The sequence below is a fragment of the Homo sapiens genome, chromosome 1 (assembly GCF_000001405.40).
Source record: "Homo sapiens chromosome 1, GRCh38.p14 Primary Assembly".
Lineage (NCBI taxonomy): Eukaryota > Metazoa > Chordata > Mammalia > Primates > Hominidae > Homo > Homo sapiens.
In genome coordinates, this window is record NC_000001.11 from 223,756,186 (window position 1) to 223,776,046 (window position 19,861).

A 19,861-nucleotide genomic window follows, 5' to 3' on the forward strand; every position below is an offset into this window, starting at 1 on the left:
GAGCCACAGCCAGAGGGCAGCCGCATTGCAGTCTCCTCTCCGCCCTCAGGCTGGGGCTGGGGCACTGAGAACTCACCCAACACGCTGGGCCCCTGGGCTCTCCCCACTCCCTTCTGCAAAACAAGAAAGAGCTTTCGTGGGCTGCAGGTAGCCATGCGAGGAGAGGGATGAAAGGAAGGCTTTAGGGCACTGACTGGGGATGCATTTCGGTTTGATGGGCTGGAGCTGGCTCCTCCCGGCTCCCAAAGCCCATCTCTTTTCTCTGACCCATGTCTGCTGAGGTCCTTCAGCAGCCTGAAAAATGGCCCTGGCAGGGACCTGTTTACACCATGGAAAGTGGCAAATAGTACAAATCAGAGCTTCCACCCTCTCCCAAGAGCCAGTTTCCCAGCACACCCCTGGGAGAATCCAGACGAGGTGTCAGGAGAGGAGGCTCTGTGCTCACCACTGGCAACGTTGCCACCCATGGAACACTGACTTCTACCTGCTCACCCACCTGAGAAAGGCAGCTGGGCAAATACCATCAGTTGTAAAAATGCACATAGGCCTAAACCCCTCCGTCTCTGAAACAGGAGCTGAGGACTTCGGATCTGGGACAGAATCGATCCAAGGACAATGCAAATGGAATTGTGATACACAGCTTCCCTCCCACCGGCTTATGGGCTTGGAAATGCAGCCACGGGCTTTCAGAGTTGGGACGGACCTTGGGGATCACTGGGTCCTATTTTTGAGACAAGAAAACTGAGGCCAGAGAGGAGAGGGGACTTGCTCAAGGAAATGCAGACCGGACCACTGGACCTGGCTGACAGAGGCCGGCACTGCTGGCTCCTAGCCCCAGGTGTATTTCACCTCGCCTGCTGCCTCCTCCAACAGGGCCCGCCTGGCCCTCTTTCCCTGCGTGGGAGGCCGATATGGGCTTTGCCACCTTAGACAAGTCTCTTCACATCTCCATGCCTGAGATTTATACTCTAAGTTAGGAAGGGAGGTGAGGGCTTATCAACATAAGAGGATTTTCTTCAGTGTTGGAGAGGCTTTGAGTTCCTTGGAAAACAGTTACTCGGTTGAATTAGTTGATATTGCTAATGCTACAGAGAAAACGGGGGCAGCGGAAGAGAAGAGCACAGTGATGCATTTTCTTACACTGCTTTTCCGGCATCTGAATTGCATCTCCTTTATTTTGCAGGTTCCAGAGGAGGTACGTCTGGCCCATGTCCCGGGGTGCTCAGGTCACCAAAAAAGCGAGAGGCTTAGACTGCTGGAGCTCAGGGAGCGTCGTGAAGCCCGGGCAGGGGCTGGTGGTCATGAAGGATGAGTCCTGGCCACCCCTGGGGCCCTGCTGAAGTTGCCCAGGCTCTAGATCCCACTGGTCTAAGCTCTGGGCAAGGTTTCTGGAAAGTCCTTGTGGGACCCGCTGCCTCCCTGTGACCTGGCAGAGCCCATACAGGGTTTGGTTCTGGGCAGAAAATCCATGATCCTGAGACTGCAGGAGGCTTTTCACAAAGTTCTTTGTCACTCTTAGGAGAAGACTGAGTCAGGGAAAAGGTGAACCCTGCAGACTGTACTAGAAGACAACGCGGGAGCACAGAGGAGACCAGGACCCAATTCCCAGGCTGTGTGACCTTGGACACGTTACAGCTCCTCTCTGCATTTCAGGGTTTTGTTTTTTTTTTTTTTGATTTTTGGTTTGTTTGTTTGTTTTTTGTCTCGCTCTTTCACCCAGGATGAAGTGCAGTGGCATGATCTCGACTCACTGCAACCTCTACCTCCTGGGTTCAAGTGATTCTCCTGCTTCAGCCTCCCCAGTAGCTGGGACTACAGGCACGCACCAGGATGCCAGGCCAATTTTTGTATTTTTAGTAGAGACGGGGTTTCACCATGGTGGCCAGGCTGGTCTTGAACTCCTGACCTCAGGTGATCCACCCCCTTCAGCCTCCCAAAGTGCTAGGATTACAGGTGTAGCCACCGTGCCTGGCTGCATTTCAGTTTATTTTTCAGTAAAACTGGTCAACCATCCACCTCACTGCACTACCGTGGAATGACTTAAATTTTGCGAGAGCATTTGGGCCCACAGTCACCGCTTGCTGAAGCAGATGGGATGCCTGGTCCAAGGTCACGATTATTAAAGTAGACACACGGGGCACTTTGACCCACCTGTAGTACATTTCTTTCACAGCAAGGCAGTGCAACCGGTAGCACATCGGGCTCTTTTAGATGCTGCTCCAGCCTTGGTCCGGTGGATCATGCTTGGTTTAGAAGCTGGGTTGTCTTTCTCCTGCCCCCAGTCCTGTCTTTGCTTTTATAGTGCATCATACACCACGTAGAACCGAGCCAGGTTCCTGCCATGTGGACGCTGTTCCTGCCTGAGAGTCTCTTAGAGGAAGGCTGGGAACACTGTGGAAAGACTGGGCATCTCTGCAGGCGGAGCTGAATGGATGTGAAACCCCTGTGGGCATGTGCTTCCGAGTTCCTCAGCAGGCATTTGTGTTTTTTGGTAGAAAGTTTGCTTTTTGTTTTTTTTTTTTTTAAGACAAGGTCTCATTCTGTCACCCAGGCTAGAGTACAGTGGTGTGATCATAGCTCACTGCCGTCCTTGAACTCTCAGACTCACGTGAGCCTCCTACCTCAGCCTCCTGAGTAGCTGAGACTACAGGCGCTTGCCGCCACCCCTGGCTAATATTTTTATTTTTTGCAGAGACAGGGGTCTCACTACATTGCCCAGGCTGGTCTCAAACTCCTGGCCTCGAGCAATCCTCTCACAGCCTCCCAAAGTGCTGGTATTACAGGCGTGAGCCACCACACCTAACAAAAGTTTGCTTTTTATCTAAAATGACCCAGGCATTGTCACTGTACTGCTATTTTTTTAAAAAAATTTTGTTGTTTTGTTGTTGTTGTCGTCGTTATATAGATGAGGGCTTCCTGTGTTGCCCAGGCTGGTTTCTGACGCCTGGCCTCGCCTCCTTATACACCAGGACAGCAGGACTGAGCCACCACACTACCCAACTGCTTTTATCTCAGTGAATGAAAATGATACTTGCCTGGAGGCTTCCCCTCATCTACCCCCATGTTTCTCTATTTATTCCTCAGTTAAGTGGGCAGACCAACATCCACCTCAGCAAAAACTTCTTCCTGACGAATCGCGCCAGGGAGCGCTCAGACACCTTCATCAACCTCCGGGAGGTGCTCAACCGCTTCAAGCTGCCGCCAGGAGAGTACATTCTCGTGCCTTCCACCTTCGAACCCAACAAGGATGGGGATTTCTGCATCCGGGTCTTTTCTGAAAAGAAAGCTGACTACCAGTAGGCGGTTTGGTCCCTTCCTCTCCCCACCCTTCCCTGTCCCTCCCCACTGGTCTGTTCCTCGGCCCCTAGAGGGCTCTTTCATCCTCTGAATGTCAGTTACTTTTTCTGTAACACCTGCCCACCTCGAAGGACTAGTGTGGGGATTTGATGGATTGAGGAAGTTCTAGTGTTATAGTAAGGTAAACAATGGAAAAAGCCACTGTGGATATTTTTGGTTGGAAAGGGGTGGCTGTACAGTGAATTGCAGGGTCTAATTTCATAAGCGTGTCTCTGAATTCTCAAGTTGGTACTTTAATGTTAAACTACGAATCCAGTCTCGTCATTTGAAGAAAGCTGAGCAGTGCTGGTGTAATCCTTGATTTTCCAGGCCACCTGGCCTAGCAGAGCCACCAAGGGTGTAAGGTGGGAACCATCTCAACGGTTCCCACCTCCAGAACCTCTCCCTATTATAGTTGTCATGTCACCAGCTCTCTCTCCCCTTCCTCATGGGATCCCACGTTTGGGAACCCTTTGTGGCTGACATCACCATTTCCTGCCACTGTCCAGGTGGCCTCAATTCACAATGGCTTCTGCCACTTTGACTTCTGCCTCAACCATGTATGTTCAGCTGGGCACTTGATTGGCAAAGGCAGAATCTACCCTGGGTGATTTAAGCTAAAGGGAATTCATCGAAAGGCCATTGGAGACTCCAGAACTGATGGGAGGTAGGGGGTCAGGCTAGGAAGAACAGGAGCCAAGGATGTGTTGGAGGACCAGGGTGTGAGATGACCCCTTGGACTCTGGGTCATGTGCTGAGGTCTAAAGATCTTGTGGAGTGTGTCTGAGGTGCTGGGCTTGGGTCAGCCACCTGGCCTGCTGGTTCCTGTAGAGGAAGAGCCAATGGGAGGTAGAGGCAGGGAACTGCCCTTGCCCCAAGATAATGCATGATGCAGAAATAATTTCCCATGGCGAAGGGAGACAAAGCAATGCCAGGCAGCTGCATACCAATGAATGCCACCATAGCACGGCTGTAGCCCCCCTGCCACTGACAGGCTGTCTTCATTTGCTAAAGCCTACCATGGGGGAAGGGACCTTTCCTCTCAGCTCTGAGGATGCTTAGAGGAAGACTGGTGTGTTCAGTTTAGTCCTCACTGACAAGAAAATAGGAGCATGACCTGGTGGCATTAGAATAACAGTGTCCTTTGTCAAACTCATTACTCTCCCTGCCAGCCACAAGTCACTCTCCCAGGGAAGCCTCAACCCCTCAACTCTCTCTAGGGTGAGCTCCCTACCCCAAGAGGACACCCCACCTCTCAAAGGTTTCTGACTTCCTTGTCCCAAAATATTAATCCTTCTGCTCCAGATTCCAATGATCAGCACCAAGAGGTCCCCTTTTCCTTCTGCCAGGCATTGGCCCTGCTGATAGGACTCTTGGTCACTTAGTTAAAATCACAGTGGCCCAAGGAAGAACCTCCTGAGCTTGATTACCCTCACTATGGAGCAGAAGGACCTGGCCCTGGACACAGGGGCGGTGCACAGTATAAACTAACCACTGCCTGACCTGAGCTTTGGCTGAAATGACACACAGGCCTCTGCACTGCCCACCTCTCCAACCTGAGGCAGAACAAGTAGGCGATGATTTGCACTGCATGATTCTCAGTGTGAAAGTCTATGTTGGCAAAGGATATTTCAAGTGGAACTTAGAAGCTATTCCTTAAGGCTAGGACGAACACCACGCTACACGCGAAGGCTATCCTATTTGATAAAGATCAAAAACTAGCAAACAAAAATCTCCAGCTGCCCACGTTGCTTTGGTCATGACCCTTCCTTCAGATCACTTCTGCCTTTATTTTTGCTGTTTAGGGGATGTGTTATCACAGAAACTTGGAATGCAGAGAAATGTTATCACAGAAACTTGGAATGCAGAAAAATTTTTGCTTTTTAGGGGAGGTGTTATCACAGAAACTTGGAATACAAAGACCTCCCCCCACCGCAGCCCTGCCCCACCCCACCTACCCCCTGCTGGATTTAGCACTGCACTTCCATTTTAGCAGTGATTTCCTTCCTTTTTGCCCTCGCCTGCCTTCCAGTAACACATAATTTCCTTCTATTTCCAGAGCTGTCGATGATGAAATCGAGGCCAATCTTGAAGAGGTATTTGTAACTCTTTGAATTTCACCCACTCTGTCCTGGACAATCCAGAGAGCAGAGGAGCAAAAAAACTCCAAGAGTTTTTGGACTTCACGAACAAAGCCTGAAACTAAGGATAAAGCCGGGTACTGGGAATCCAAGAGTCGACTACCTGCATCAGCTCTGGCCTCTGTGCTGGGGGCATGGGCCAGTCCCTTGCCTATTGGGCTGTGCTAGCCACTGTCAAAATCCATCCACAACATTCCAGCTAGTCTTTATTCTTCTGAGTCCCCACTAGAATAGATCCTAAAAGGCCATTTTAATTGGATGCTAGAGAAGATACCTCTGTGAGAAATTAGAATATTACTCCTTCCCACATAATTTACATTCCTTCTTGTGTTTTAATTAGAAAAAAAAAACCTTATATTAATTCTTCACACTATACCTGATCTTAACCCAAATCACCGTAGAATTTGGGCCCCAGGGAGGGGTAGAGAAGGGGAGTGGGAGGTGGCTGCCATGGAAGGGCGGGCAGACACTTGGTGTCATGCCTCGCTCTGATGCATTCTCATGTCTCTGCCTCACCTTCCAGTTCGACATCAGCGAGGATGACATTGATGATGGATTCAGGAGACTGTTTGCCCAGTTGGCAGGAGAGGTAAATGTTCCCAAAAACGATGTTATGCACTCTGGTTGATGCAAAGGAAGAGACAGTGTGTGTCCCCAAGGGGACTTTAGTTTAAAGGGGAGAGGAAACAAACTGAACAAAAGCAAAGAGAAATTGCAAATGGCACTTGGGTTCCAGCTCAGCCCTCTTGCGTGTGTCCTCCCTAAGACCTCCGCATGCTGCCGGGGGCTTCCATTTGCATGGTCAGCCCTGACTCTGTGTTCCTCCTTCCTTAGGATTCCTGGGCTCACCTTGTGACTGTTTTATTTTCTCTGTTCTACACCAATTGAGGCATGAAACTTGGCCCCTTATCCTTGATTTCCACAAAGGATTTGGAGAGATGGAAGGGTTTCAAGTCTCAAGAATGCAGGCCACCTGCAACAGAGTGTTTGAATTAGGCTTTTCTGTTCTCTTTTCTTTTTTCTTTTTTTCTTTTTAGAGACAGGGTCTCTCTCTGTCACCCAGGCTGGAGTGCAGTGGCATGATCATAGCTCACTGCAGCCTCCACTTCCTGGGCTCAAGAGATCTTGCCACCTTAGTCTCCCAAGTAGCTGGGACTATAGGTGCACACCACCATGTCTAGCTAATTTTTATTTTATTTTTATTTTTGTAGAGATGGAGTTTTGCCATGTTGCCCAGGCTGCTCTGGAACTCCTGGGCTCAACAATCCTCCAACCTTGGTCTGCCAAAGTGTTGGGATTACAGATGCATACCACCATGCCCAGCTAATTTTTAAATTTTTTTTAGAGACAGGGTCTCACTTTGTTGTCCAGGCTGGTCTTAAACCCCTGAGCTCAAGCAGTCCTCCCACCTCAGCCTCCCAAAGTGCTGGAATTACGGGTGTGAGCCACCATACCTGGCCACTTCCCTGTTCTTAAAAAAATCCCTCAGCCATTTAGTCCCATCACAAAGTTATTTAGCCCTCTTTCTTCCCAACAACTCCAAAAAAAAAAAAAAAGTCCTCTTTCTTCACTATGTGGAGGAACTTTCCAATCATTGAGCTCATCTGGTACTCCCTTCGCTGACCTAAAGACCCATCAAAGTACTAAGCCAGGCATCGTCTGCTCTGCGCCTCCACCGGCCTCTCACCCTCTGCTCCCTCCCAGATTCCCAAGGAAAGGGGCCATGAGAGTCTTCTTTCCCCTCTGATTGAATCCCACACATACACACCCCAAAAGGCAAACATGACTGCAATCAATCTTGGTTTTAAACAAAGGAGTTTATCCATGAGTTACACAAATATGTGTAAGTGGATAGAGACATCTGAGCCCATGAGGGGCCCTGGCATGATGGGCATAGAGGAGGGCCGGCTAGGTCTTGGAGACAGCTGGTTTTCACCAGTTTTACAGGAAGTCTGAGCTTTGAGTTTTAAAGAATGAAGAAAACATGCCAGATAAGAGGAATGGTATAAGAGAATTAAGAAAGACCACAAACATGGGTAGAGGGGAGTATTTATTATTTATATTCTCTACAGCAAAGAAATGGTGAGTGAACTCTCCCTACTGCATCCGTACATTAAAACACCGTATCTAGGCTGGGCACAGTGGCTCACACCTGTAATCCCAGCACTTTGGGAGGCTGAGGCTGGAGGATCGTTTGAGCCTAGGAGTTTGAGGTTTCAGTGAGCTAGGATCATTCCACTGCAGTCCAGCCCAGCCTGGGTGTTCTAAAAAGAACCAAACCAAAAACACTGTATCTAAAATCCAGAATGGGGCAGTACTACTCAAAGTGTGGTCTGGGGACAGCAGCCCCAACATGGCTCGGGGGCTTGTTAGAAATGCACATTCATAGGCCCCACCGCAGGCCTACCTAATGCACTGGTGTCCTGCCCTGTGCTCATCCAGCTCCCACGGGGGGCCAATAACTATGCTCTGGTTATGTGTCCACAGGATGCGGAGATCTCTGCCTTTGAGCTGCAGACCATCCTGAGAAGGGTTCTAGCAAAGCGTGAGTATCCCCTCATTGCAAAACCTCATCCTGCTCTTTCCCCTGTGGATGGGAGGGAACATGGAAATCTTTCCCCCTCCATGTCTGGCTGCTGTGACTAAACCACCACCCTCCATCCCCTCCAAGAAGTGGATGAAGGATTTGTATGATGTGATGAAAAAGAACAAGTGTTTGTAGCATCCACAGATCAAAGATCAAATCCAGGTTTCCACTACATACTAGCTTTGTGTGATCTATTTTTTTAATTTATTTTATTTTATTTTTGAGACAGAGTCTCACTCTGTCGCCCAGGCTGGAGTAAAGTGGCACAATCTCAGCTCACTGCAATCTCTACCTCCCAAATTCAAGCGATTCTCCTGCCTCAGCCTCCCAAGTAGCTGGAATCACAGGCAAGTGCCACCACAGCCAGCTGACTTTTGTATTTTTAGTAAAGACAGGGTTTCACCATATTGGCCAGGCTGGTCTTGAACTCCTGACCTCAAGTGATCCACCTGCCTTGGCCTCCCAAAATGCTGGGATTACAGGCATGCACTACCACATCCAGCTAATTTTTGTATTTTCCTAGAGATGGGGTTTCTCCATGTTGGCCAGGCTGGTCTTGAACCCCTGGCCTCAAGTGATCTGCCCACCTCGGCCTCCCAAAGTGCTGGGATTACAGGTGTGAGCCACCGTGCCCGGCCACATCTTGTAACTAACTATTTCTTAAGCAAAAAAATGTCAGAGGATTGATTGTTCAACCCCTTACTGTGGATCACCAGCAGGGAGGAGCGGGAAACACAACACAGAGACATTTTTTCCCCTCAAATTATCAAAAGAATCACGCTGCATTTGTTAAGAGAGCAACTGGCAATCCAGGAAGCAGAGTTTTGAACATATCAGAAGTTAGGAATCTGCATCAGAGACAAATGCAGTCATGGTTGTTTGCTGCATACCAGCCCTAGGGATCATCTCGAGAAGCCTCATGGACTTCAAGGGACATCATTCCCTCTGACAAGATGGCCTCTAGCCTAACTCCATGAGATAAAATAAATCTGCCTTTCAGAGCCAAAGAAGAGTCCAGGGCCAGCTGGGTCTTCCCTCCCAGTGTGAACCAAGAGGGCTGGGCCAGTCAGGTTACGGTCAGTCCAGTGCAGGGCCTCCCCAGAGGAGACCCAGTCTGCACCCGCCCTCCTCTAATTTTCAGGGAAGGCAAGAAGATTGTGTTTACCCTGGAGGCCACCAGGCACAAGTGAGGTCACAGAGCTCTTCAGATATGCAGTCCTCATGAGCTGAGGAGACTAAAGCCTCATTGTTTCTGCACAGATGGAGGGTGGGGCTGGGAGGTGGGGAAGAAGCGGGCCTTGCCTGGATTCAGCCCGCTCCTTGCTGGGGGAGCAGCATTCGCTCCGCGCGTGCCTCTGAGCTTACTACCCTACCCCTAGCTGCCTGCTGACTCCAGCCTTCTGGAGGGCTCCACACCAGAGTCTGCATGCACAGCTGCTGGGCCAGAGCCTTATGACCATCTAAGGGGTTGGTGCCCAGAGTGGCAGCTTTGAGGCAGGTCAGGCTCTAACCTCTTTCGGGGACATAACAAAAAGGCTGGGCTTTTCGTGAAGTCTGTGGGGAGCCAGGTTCACATTGGTGACTAGGGAGGGTCTCATGCCACCTGCCAAACACCAAGTGGACAGGACTCACTTAGTGCAGCACAAATAGCTCGTGGATCGATCCCAGTTCCTCAGGTTTCTCAGTCAGCTGGGGACACAGTCCATAAATGTCTGCAGATGGACAGTTCAAGTAAACCTCTTTCTCTCACGGGTCATAGCCTAGAATTAACACACCTGCTCTCTGTTTTCTTTTTCCCTGCCCAACAACTACAGGTGACTTTATATCCTGTGGGCACCTAAGGCCCAACCATTGATCATTCTGTTATTTATTTGTTCAAAAAGCACTTTTTAAAGCCCTGTTTGCCCACGGCAAATATACAGAGACATCAGGACAATGTGGACATCATCTGCACTGTCCCAGTCTGGTAGTCACTAGCCACATGTGGCTATTTAATATAATGGAAGTGGCTTCTGTATGTGAAGGGCACAGATAAAGAATATCTCCATGATTGTGGAAAGTTCAGTTGGACATCACCGCTCAGAGATTTTTCCTGTCACACTGATTTTGTCTTTTAGGCCAAGATATCAAGTCAGATGGCTTCAGCATCGAGACATGCAAAATTATGGTTGACATGCTAGATGTATCCTTTAATGTGCTCCAGGGAATAGAGACTGGGGGAGTTTAAAATCTCACTCCAGAAAGATTCAAACACATGGCCTTCTCCCTTTTCAAAATAGCCAGTTGTTCCCAACTTGCTGAGTTGCTGTCGGACAGTCAGCAGCGCTGACCTCCCTTACTAGGGAAATGCGAGAACCCTCTGATGAGGGAAAGCAAATGCTACACCCCCCCTCCCACCTACCCTGAAAGGCTTAGAATGCAGGCCCATGGCGGGCGGTGGCTCATGCCTGTAATCCCAGCACTTTGGAAGGCCAAGGTGGGCCTCCTGACTCACGAGGTCAGGAGTTCGAGACCAGCCTGACCAACATGGTGAAACCTTGTCTCTACTAAAAATACAAAAATTAGCTGGGTGTGGTGGCGGGCACCTGTAATCCCAGCTACTCAGGAGGCTGAGGCAGGAGAATCACTTGAACCTGGGAGGCGGAGGTTGCAGTGAGCTGAGATCGCGCCACTGCACTCCAGCCTGGGTGACAGAGCGTGACTCATCGCCAAAAAAAAAAAAAGAAAAAGAATGTAGGCCCACCAGTCCATTCCTGGGGCTGGTGCGGGAAATTCCTGACAATATGCCCATCACTTCTTTGCACAAAGCAGCTCGAATTTGTTTCCTCAGTGATGTGTTTCCATTACTTCCTCTAGGAAAATATTCCCTAACCACAGTATTTCTGATGTGAATCTGTTTTGTCTGATCAAGATCGTCGTCTTCTTTATTTATTTATTTATTTATTTTTTATTATTATACTTTAAGTTTTAGGGTACATGTGCACAATGTGCAGGTTAGTTACATATGTATACATGTGCCATGCTGGTGCTTTGCACCCACTAACTCGTCATCTAGCATTAGGTATATCTCCCAATGCCATCCCTCCCCCCTCCCCCCACCCCACAACAGTCCCCAGAGTGTGATGTTCCCCTTCCTGTGTCCATGTGTTCTCATTGTTCAATTCCCACCTATGAGTGAGAATATGCGGTGTTTGGTTTTTTGTTCTTGCGATAGTTTACTGAGAATGATGATTTCCAATTTCATCCATGTCCCTACAAAGGACATGAACTCATCATTTTTTATGGCTGCATAGTATTCCATGGTGTATATGAGCCACATTTTCTTAATCCAGTCTATCGTTGTTGGACATTTGGGTTGGTTCCAAGTCTTTGCTATTGTGAATAATGCCGCAATAAACATACGTGTGCATGTGTCTTTATAGCAGCATGATTTATAGTCCTTTGGGTATATACCCAGTAATGGGATGGCTGGGTCAAATGATATTTCTAGTTCTAGATCCCTGAGGAATCGCCACACTGACTTCCACAATGGTTGAACTAGTTTACAGTCCCACCAACAGTGTAAAAGTGTTCCTATTTCTCCACATCCTCTCCAGCACCTGTTGTTTCCTGACTTTTTAATGATTGCCATTCTAACTGGTGTGAGATGGTATCTCATTATGGTTTTGATTTGCATTTCTCTGATGGCCAGTGATGGTGAGCATTTTTTCATGTGTTTTTTGGCTGCATAAATGTCTTCTTTTGAGAAGTGTCTGTTCATGTCCTTTGCCCACTTTTTGATGGGGTTGTTTGTTTTTTTCTTGTAAATTTGTTGGAGTTCATTGTAGATTCTGGATATTAGCCCTTTGTCAGATAAGCAGGTTGCGAAAATTTTCTCCCATTTTGTAGGTTGCCTGTTCACTCTGATGGTAGTTTCTTTTGCTGTGCAGAAGCTCTTTAGTTTAATTAGATCCCATTTGTCAATTTTGGCTTTTGTTGCCATTGCTTTTGGTGTTTTAGACATGAAGTCCTTGCCCATGCCTATGTCCTGAATGGTAATGCCTAGGTTTTCTTCTAGGGTTTTGATGGTTTTAGGTCTAACGTTTAAGTCTTTAATCCATCTTGAATTGATTTTTGTATAAGGTGTAAGGAAGGGATCCAGTTTCAGCTTTCTACATATGGCTAGCCAGTTTTCCCAGCACCATTTATTAAATAGGGAATCCTTTCCCCATTGCTTGTTTTTCTCAGGTTTATCAAAGATCAGATAGTTGTAGATACGGCGTTATTTCTGAGGGCTCTGTTCTGTTCCATTGATCTATATCTGTTTTGGTACCAGTACCATGCTGTTTTGGTTACTGTAGCCTTGTAGTATAGTTTGAAGTCAGGTAGTGTGATGCCTCCAGCTTTGTTCTTTTGGCTCAGGATTGACTTGGCGATGCGGGCTCTTTTTTGGTTCCATATGAACTTTAAAGTAGTTTTTTCCAATTCTGTGAAGAAAGTCATTGGTAGCTTGATGGGGATGGCATTGAATCTGTAAATTACCTTGGGCAGTATGGCCATTTTCACAATATTGATTCTTCCTACCCATGAGCATGGAATGTTCTTCCATTTGTTTGTATCCTCTTTTATTTCCTTGAGCAGTGGTTTGTAGTTCTCCTTGAAGAGGTCCTTCACATCCCTTGTAAGTTGGATAAGATCGTCTTCTTGATTTAGATAAGGGCTACTTTCATGAGGATCCTACTTCCCTTTTGCTCTAGCTCCTTCCCAGGCCACCCACCTTTCCCCAAGGCAAACTAGTCATCCATTTCCCCCTTGTTTCCAATGCTTAGTGAGAAGTGGTGGTAAGGGGCAGCCTAAGCTTCTGTGAAGTTTTTTCTGTTTGTTTGTTTAGTTGGTTGGTTGGTTTTTTGAGACGGGGTCTCACTGTGTCACCCAGGCTGGAGGGCAGTGGCATGATCTCAGCTCACTCGAACCTCCGCCTCCCAGGTTCAGGTGATTCTCCCCCCTCCAGCCTCCCTAGTAGCTAGGACTACAGGTGCGCGCCACCATGCCCAGCTGATTTTTCTATTTTTAGTAGAGACAGGGTTTCACCGTGTTGGCCAGGCTGGTGTCGAATTCCTGACCACAGGTGATCTGCCCACCTTGGCCTCCCAAAGTGCTGGGATTAGAGGTGTGAGCCACCATGCCTGGCCACTTCTGTGAAGTTTTATCTAGTGGATTCATGGTGTACACCTGCTAGCTCCCTTCACCAAAGGCCTCTTAGATATACTCCACATACTTTAAAAAAAACAGCAAGGGCCTAGCCACTAGAAGCCATCCAAAGCCCTCTGCATGTCATCCAATACCTCATTTTTAGTAGTATCTGGGGCCTCCACAGCACCCCTAGATCAAAACAGCAACCAGATTCGGCAGGGAGCCAGCAGGTCTTTCTCGCCCTTCCTCCAATCCTTTAAATGGAGGTTTAGCCAGTGGGAAAAGCAGGAAAAGGATCCTTCTGCAAACCCTCCTTGTGTATATGCTATGATATTCAAAAGATCCAGTTGAGAAGACAAACTAGGTGACACTATGTGCAAATGGACCCACACTCAAGGGCTTTCCTTGACTGAAGGCAGTCGGACGGGAGTGGCAAGCTGGGGCTGAAGGAGTTCTACATTCTCTGGACGAAGATTCAAAAATACCAAGTAAGATCCCAGAGATGCGGGTGGATCTGTGTTGGGAAACATTCTGTTCATATGCTTTAAGATGCAGCAACTCCTGCACAGAGTGGAGAAACATTTCCAAGGGGATTGGGATTTTACCCATAATGAAGCTCAGAGTGAGTAAAGATGGGGCTGAGGAAATGCAAACAAAAAACCAACCAGGACTTCGCAGGTGAAATGGCCTATTCCCTTCCTCCTGATTATTGGGATCATCTAAAGGCCACCATCAAGGGTTTCCTGAAAAGGGTTTTTGACAGCTAAAGTACAAAAATTATATAAGACAAGAACATGGACCTATGGGCGTTGGCTGGCTGATTTGATGGGCATATTTACAAACCAGCTCACAGACAGAAGCAAAATACTATTAGTTATTTAAGGCAGAAACATAAGTGATTCTTCCACGGCCAAACTAGAGGCACAGAGCTGGAAAAACTTCATCCCCACTCAGCACATACTAGGGAGGTAACTTGCCAGCTTTGCTTTGGGTCATAGTTCTTACAGCTAACTTATGTGTTCCAGAAAATTTACCGAGAAATCGACGTTGACAGGTCTGGTACCATGAATTCCTATGAAATGCGGAAGGCATTAGAAGAAGCAGGTAACCCTTTATAACTGCATTTTCGTTCCTAGTTTAATCTGTCTGTAGAATATGTGAACACTCATCTTATACCATATAACACAAGATTTGGTAAAGCTATAAAATAAAGTAGGTGCTGGTTTAATACAGACACCTCCTTTTCATTCCCCTTTCAAAGACTAATTGGTAAAATTAAATGCAGTAGGATGCTCTGCCCTCTGTGCCTTCTTGAATCCAAGTTTCCTTTGGAGCCGCCTGGCACAGTAAGCAGGCAAAGCCAGGTCTCAACAGCCTCCTCCAGGTGCTTCCTTTCTGGTGCAGGGTTGGTTAGGCAGAAATCAAATGTCTCAGCTCAGCCCTTAGGGTAAGACCCTAGCAGAATTGGATATCAATAAAAGGACACAAGCGAGTGGTAGACCAGCAAAGCAGGAGACTGCTGGGCTTTGGGAACAAATGTGTCAGCATGAGGCTGTTCATTCTATTTGCTGGAATATAATGCTGCTGCAGAGACCCCACACAACATTGGTTTATACGAGGTATGTCTTTCTGTCGTATAGCAATCCCAGCTCCAGCAGTCCACGGCTAGGACGGTGCCTCCTACTATCCTACCATGTCACTATCTGATCACGCTTCCCCCAGCCTCCCCCCATCCATGATGCCCACCGGACCTTCAAGGGTCACCCTCATCCAAGGGACCTGGGACAGCCTGCCACCACAAACACATGCCACCAACAGGTTGACAGAAGAAGGGCCCCTTGCCTTTAAGGGCACACAGGCCATTTCCGGTCACACATCCCACCAGCCAGACTCTGATCACAAGGCCTCTGTTGACTGCAAGGAAGCTGGGACATGCAGTCTTGATGCTAGGTGGCCATAGGCTCAATAAAAATTATTTTACTCTGGAAGGAGAGAGAACTACTATGAGTTTACCAGGAAAGCTTCTGCTCACATATATCCAGGAAGAATCTGATCTTCAAGACGATTGAGAGCTAAACAAAAAATCAAACAGCAGCAGCATGGTTAACAACATGAAGCAACTGTGACCATGAGAACAGAAACAGGCAAGAAAACACTTATGTGTCAGCAAAGGACACAGGCAGGGTGAAGGTGGACAGTTCAAAAACAAAAGAAACAGCAGAAGGTACTGGCTTTGCAAAATCAAACCAGTCTCACAGAAGAGCAGCCAAGGGACAAAAGCAATTATACCTCATTTAAATCACCACATTAGTTTCATAGCCTGTGAGCGCAGCTAAATGGAACAATCTAATGCTTAGCAATGAGTTTGTTTGTTCATGTAACTTCAGGTTTCAAGATGCCCTGTCAACTCCACCAAGTCATCGTTGCTCGGTTTGCAGATGACCAGCTCATCATCGATTTTGATAATTTTGTTCGGTGTTTGGTTCGGCTGGAAACGCTATTCAGTAAGTGGATATTTGGGGAATGACTCATTTCAGTTCTCTTGGTATTAAAGTGGCCTGCCTTTCACCTCGGTGAAATCATCTAAACTAGAGACATGTCTTCCAGGAGTTGAGAATGAAATTCCCTCTTTACTAATTTGAGGGTGAGGAAGAAAGCATGTATGGTGGTCAGTGAAGTCAGTTGCTGAACTGAAAAGAGGATAATGTGATCTGTTTCAGCTCACTCACTTGTGACACCCTCTTTTTCTCCCTCCACAGAGATATTTAAGCAGCTGGATCCCGAGAATACTGGAACAATAGAGCTCGACCTTATCTCTGTGAGTCAGCAGGCCCCGCCTTGCTTCTAAGGGGATGGGGGAGGCATGGGGCGGAAAGGGCTGTTACTTGAGTGATCTGCTTTTTCAAGTTTTGCTTTAAAGAGCTCTTGGTCTGTCGGGGCCAGGCCTGTAACCGGTTGTAAGATCCCACAATGCACTTTTACTTGCAGTTGTTTTCCAACCACCTATTCTCAAGTCCAAAATGCACGCCTGGCTCCCTCTTCTCATGAGCTTTGACTTGAGTGTAGCTCAAGGTTAAACTAAGGAGTGGCTGCAGGATCATGCTTAGAAAAATGAACTCCTGATTAGCATGCAAGGGAGAACATGTTTATATAAAGAAATCCTTCAGCTGAAATTCAAGTTGGGTTTTGGGAAGATCCATCATTCTTAGAGTGGATCTACTTAAAATACTTTAAGCAAATTAGTTTTCTCTACTCCCTCCCCGTTTAAGATAAAACCAATACTAGTAAATACGTTTGCCATTTATTATTGTTATTGCACTCATGTGTCTGGAACCCTAGCAATACACATCTCTGAAATGATCATCAATCTGAATTAAGTGGGTATGCTAATTTCACAAAAAGCAAAGCGTAAAATGTTCTCGTGTCATCCCAATGACAGGAAGTTCTCTCACTGAAAGAAAGAAGCCAGGTGGGGTATACTTCCATTATCACCTGGCTCCAGTCAGCATTTCCTCTATACTCAGGGAAGGCCACAGAGGGCCGGGCGAAGTGGCTGACACTGGGTGAGAATGGCAGTTGTCAGTCCTGTCCGTGTAACAGAGGAGTGAAGTGGTGAGGAGGGCAGGTCTAAGGCACTGGCAGCTCTTTTCCATGGATTTTGAACTCTGGAGGAAGGCAGCAACTAAATAACTGTCTCATTCTGCTATTATGCATTGTATTAGCAAAGTGAAAATATAGTCTATCTGGTTACAAATAACACTAACTTGCTTAAAACTTTACATATCCTAGGAAATATCTCTACCCCTAGATTGCAATGTAGAGTCAACCCCATCTCTAAAAAAATAAAAAATTAGGCTGGCCGCAGTGGTTCATGCCTGTAATCCCATCACTTTGGGAGGCCAAGGCAGGTGGATCACCTGAGGTCAGGAGCTCAAGACCAGCCTGGCCAACATGGTGAAACCGCGTCTCTACTGAAAATACAAAAATTAGGGCTGGGCGCGGTGGCTCACATCTATAATCCTAGCACTTTGGGAGGCCAAGGCGGGCGAATCACCTGAGGTTGGGAGTTCGAGACCAGCCTGAGTAACATGGAGAAACCCCATCTCTACTAAAAATACAAAATTAGCCAGGCGTGGTGACACATGCCTGTTAATCCCAGCTACTCGGGAGGCTGAAGCGAAAGGATTGCTTGAACCCGGGAGGCGGAGGTTGCGGCGAGCTGAGATTGCACCATTGTACTCCATCCAGCCTGGGCAACAAGAGCAAAACTGCATCTAAAAAAAAAATTAGCTGGGCGTGGTGGCAGGTGCCTGTAAATACGTTACTCTGGAGGCTGAGGCAGGAGAATCACATGAACCTAGGAGGTAGAGGTTGCAGTGAACTGAGATGGTGCCACTGCACTCCAGCCTAGGCAACAAGAGCAAAACCCTGTCTCAGAAAAAAATAAATAAAAAATAAAAAAATGAGCCAGGCATGGTGGTGCGTGCCTGTAGACCCAGCTACCCAGGAGGCTAAGGTGGGAGGAACACCTGAGCCCAGAAGTCAAGGCCGCAGTGAGCCATGATCTCCCCACTACATTCCATCTTGGGTGACAGAGCAAGGCCCTGTCTCAAAAAATTTAAAATGAAATAAATAGTAGAGTCAACACAACTGTGACACGAAACATGCCACATGTTAAGTTCTGGAAATCCTAGCCTGTCATTCTTGCTGGATATCCTATTCTACCCCAGCCACCCACCCCCACTCCAGGGTCCACCTGGCCTGCCTGCTCAGTCCACTCCCTCCGCATCTCCTCCGAGAAGCATCTTCTTACCCACTGGCTTTTCCTGCCACTCCTAAGCCTTACCTTTTGCAGGTTCCTGGAGATCCTCGCTTCTCGTAGTCTTTGCAAGGATGAGCCATGTTCAGAAGCTCTCCGTTCAGTCTGCAGGGATTTCAACCTTGGCTGCAGATTCCATCACATGGGGAGCTTTGCCAAAGTGCTGGTGTCCTGTCTGTATCCCAGACCAGTTGAATCAATCTGATTTAAAGTTTCCGTATCACTACAACTTAGAACCAATGCTGAACACCATTGGTTGCAGGGATATCCACATCCCAAACTAACTTCTGATGTGATACTCTGAGGCAGAGATGTGAAAATGCTAATTTCTGTTGTGTGAATTTCACTTTTCATGTGTGCAATCAACCCTGTAATATGATTCATGGCCACTTAATGCAAATCACACAGACTACTGACCTGTTAAAAGCTAGACTCTAGAAATCAGGTAAGAAAAATATGAGTTAGTGCACTGATATTGTAGCCCTCAATCAGCTTTTCCAGTACAAGTTTTTTGGAACAATCTACAGGTACTTAAATAGCCTTTAATTTTAAAAGTGGTCACTGAGCTGACTTTTTTTTTTCCTTCCTCACAGTGGCTCTGTTTCTCAGTACTTTGAAGTTATAACTAATCTGCCTGAAGACTTCTCATGATGGAAAATCAGCCAAGGACTAAGCTTCCATAGAAATACACTTTGTATCTGGACCTCAAAATTATGGGAACATTTACTTAAACGGATGATCATAGCTGAAAATAATGATACTGTCAATTTGAGATAGCAGAAGTTTCACACATCAAAGTAAAAGATTTGCATATCATTATACTAAATGCAAATGAGTCGCTTAACCCTTGACAAGGTCAAAGAAAGCTTTAAATCTGTAAATAGTATACACTTTTTACTTTTACACACTTTCCTGTTCATAGCAATATTAAATCAGGAAAAAAAAATGCAGGGAGGTATTTAACAGCTGAGCAAAAACATTGAGTCGCTCTCAAAGGACACGAGGCCCTTGGCAGGGAATATTTAAAGCAACTTCAAGTTTAAAATGCAGCTGTTGATTCTACCAAACAACAGTCCAAGATTACCATTTCCCATGAGCCAACTGGGAAACATGGTATATCATGAAGTAATCTTGTCAAGGCATCTGGAGAGTCCAGGAGAGAAGACTCACCTCTGTCGCTTGGGTTAAACAAGAGACAGGTTTTGTAGAATATTGATTGGTAATAGTAAATCGTTCTCCTTACAATCAAGTTCTTGACCCTATTCGGCCTTATACATCTGGTCTTACAAAGACCAAAGGGATCCTGCGCTTGATCAACTGAACCAGTATGCCAAAACCAGGCATCCAATTTGTAAACCAATTATGATAAAGGACAAAATAAGCTGTTTGCCACCTCAAAACTTTATGAACTTCACCACCACTAGTGTCTGTCCATGGAGTTAGAGGGGACATCACTTAGAAGTTCTTATAGAAAGGACACAAGTTTGTTTCCTGGCTTTACCTTGGGAAAATGCTAGCAACATTATAGAAATTTTGCCTTGTTGCCTTATCTTCTTCCAAATGTACTGTTAAATAAAAATAAAGGGTTACCCCATGCAATCACACCATGCCATGTTTTCCTTCCTGGAGGGCAGCCCCACAGGACGGTTTATGAGCACACAATTATAGCTTGTTTCTACTTTAACAAGGTATGCTGCCTCTGTAAATTCATGTATTCAAAGGAAAAGACACCTTGCCTATAATTAAAATGTGGAACTATAAAATTTTTTAAAATCCAATTCAGAAACTTTGATAATCTGACCATAA

The 19,861-nt window shown here is 46.8% G+C and overlaps 1 protein-coding gene and 1 long non-coding RNA gene across 4 annotated transcripts in view, besides 1 other annotated feature; one reads left to right on the forward strand and one right to left on the reverse strand.

The window, feature by feature from the left end:
- CAPN2 (calpain 2) overlaps window positions 1-19,833 on the forward strand; it is a 74,422-nt gene extending 54,589 nt beyond the window's left edge. For 2 of the 3 annotated variants that reach the window (NM_001146068.2, NM_001748.5), the window contains exons 11-21: window positions 1,184-1,195; window positions 3,085-3,296; window positions 5,396-5,432; window positions 6,001-6,066; window positions 7,965-8,022; window positions 10,182-10,246; window positions 13,656-13,724; window positions 14,262-14,340; window positions 15,624-15,740; window positions 15,996-16,054; window positions 18,649-19,833. In NM_001146068.2, coding sequence (NP_001139540.1) covers window positions 1,184-1,195; window positions 3,085-3,296; window positions 5,396-5,432; window positions 6,001-6,066; window positions 7,965-8,022; window positions 10,182-10,246; window positions 13,656-13,724; window positions 14,262-14,340; window positions 15,624-15,740; window positions 15,996-16,054; window positions 18,649-18,672 — 798 coding nt within the window. In that variant the 3' untranslated portion in view covers window positions 18,673-19,833. Of the gene's footprint in view, window positions 1-1,183; window positions 1,196-1,519; window positions 2,147-3,084; window positions 3,297-5,395; window positions 5,433-6,000; window positions 6,067-7,964; window positions 8,023-10,181; window positions 10,247-13,655; window positions 13,725-14,261; window positions 14,341-15,623; window positions 15,741-15,995; window positions 16,055-18,648 lie in introns of those variants that run through there. The other variant, XM_047431344.1, reaches the window with a different exon arrangement.
- Window positions 16,060-16,715: an enhancer, noted in NCBI's record as "H3K27ac hESC enhancer chr1:223959947-223960602 (GRCh37/hg19 assembly coordinates)". NCBI's record gives its function as "activates a minimal SCP1, AML or CMV promoter by ChIP-STARR-seq in primed H9 embryonic stem cells {active_cell/tissue: H9 hESC(primed)}" and the evidence as "EXISTENCE:reporter gene assay evidence [ECO:0000049][PMID:30033119]".
- On the reverse strand, window positions 16,526-18,649 carry LOC105373041 (uncharacterized). The gene is made up of 2 exons (XR_949167.3): window positions 18,083-18,649; window positions 16,526-16,901 (listed from the first exon to the last, which is right to left on the reverse strand). It is a non-coding gene; the product is annotated as an uncharacterized LOC105373041 (long non-coding RNA).
- Window positions 19,834-19,861: the final 28 nt, after the last annotated feature.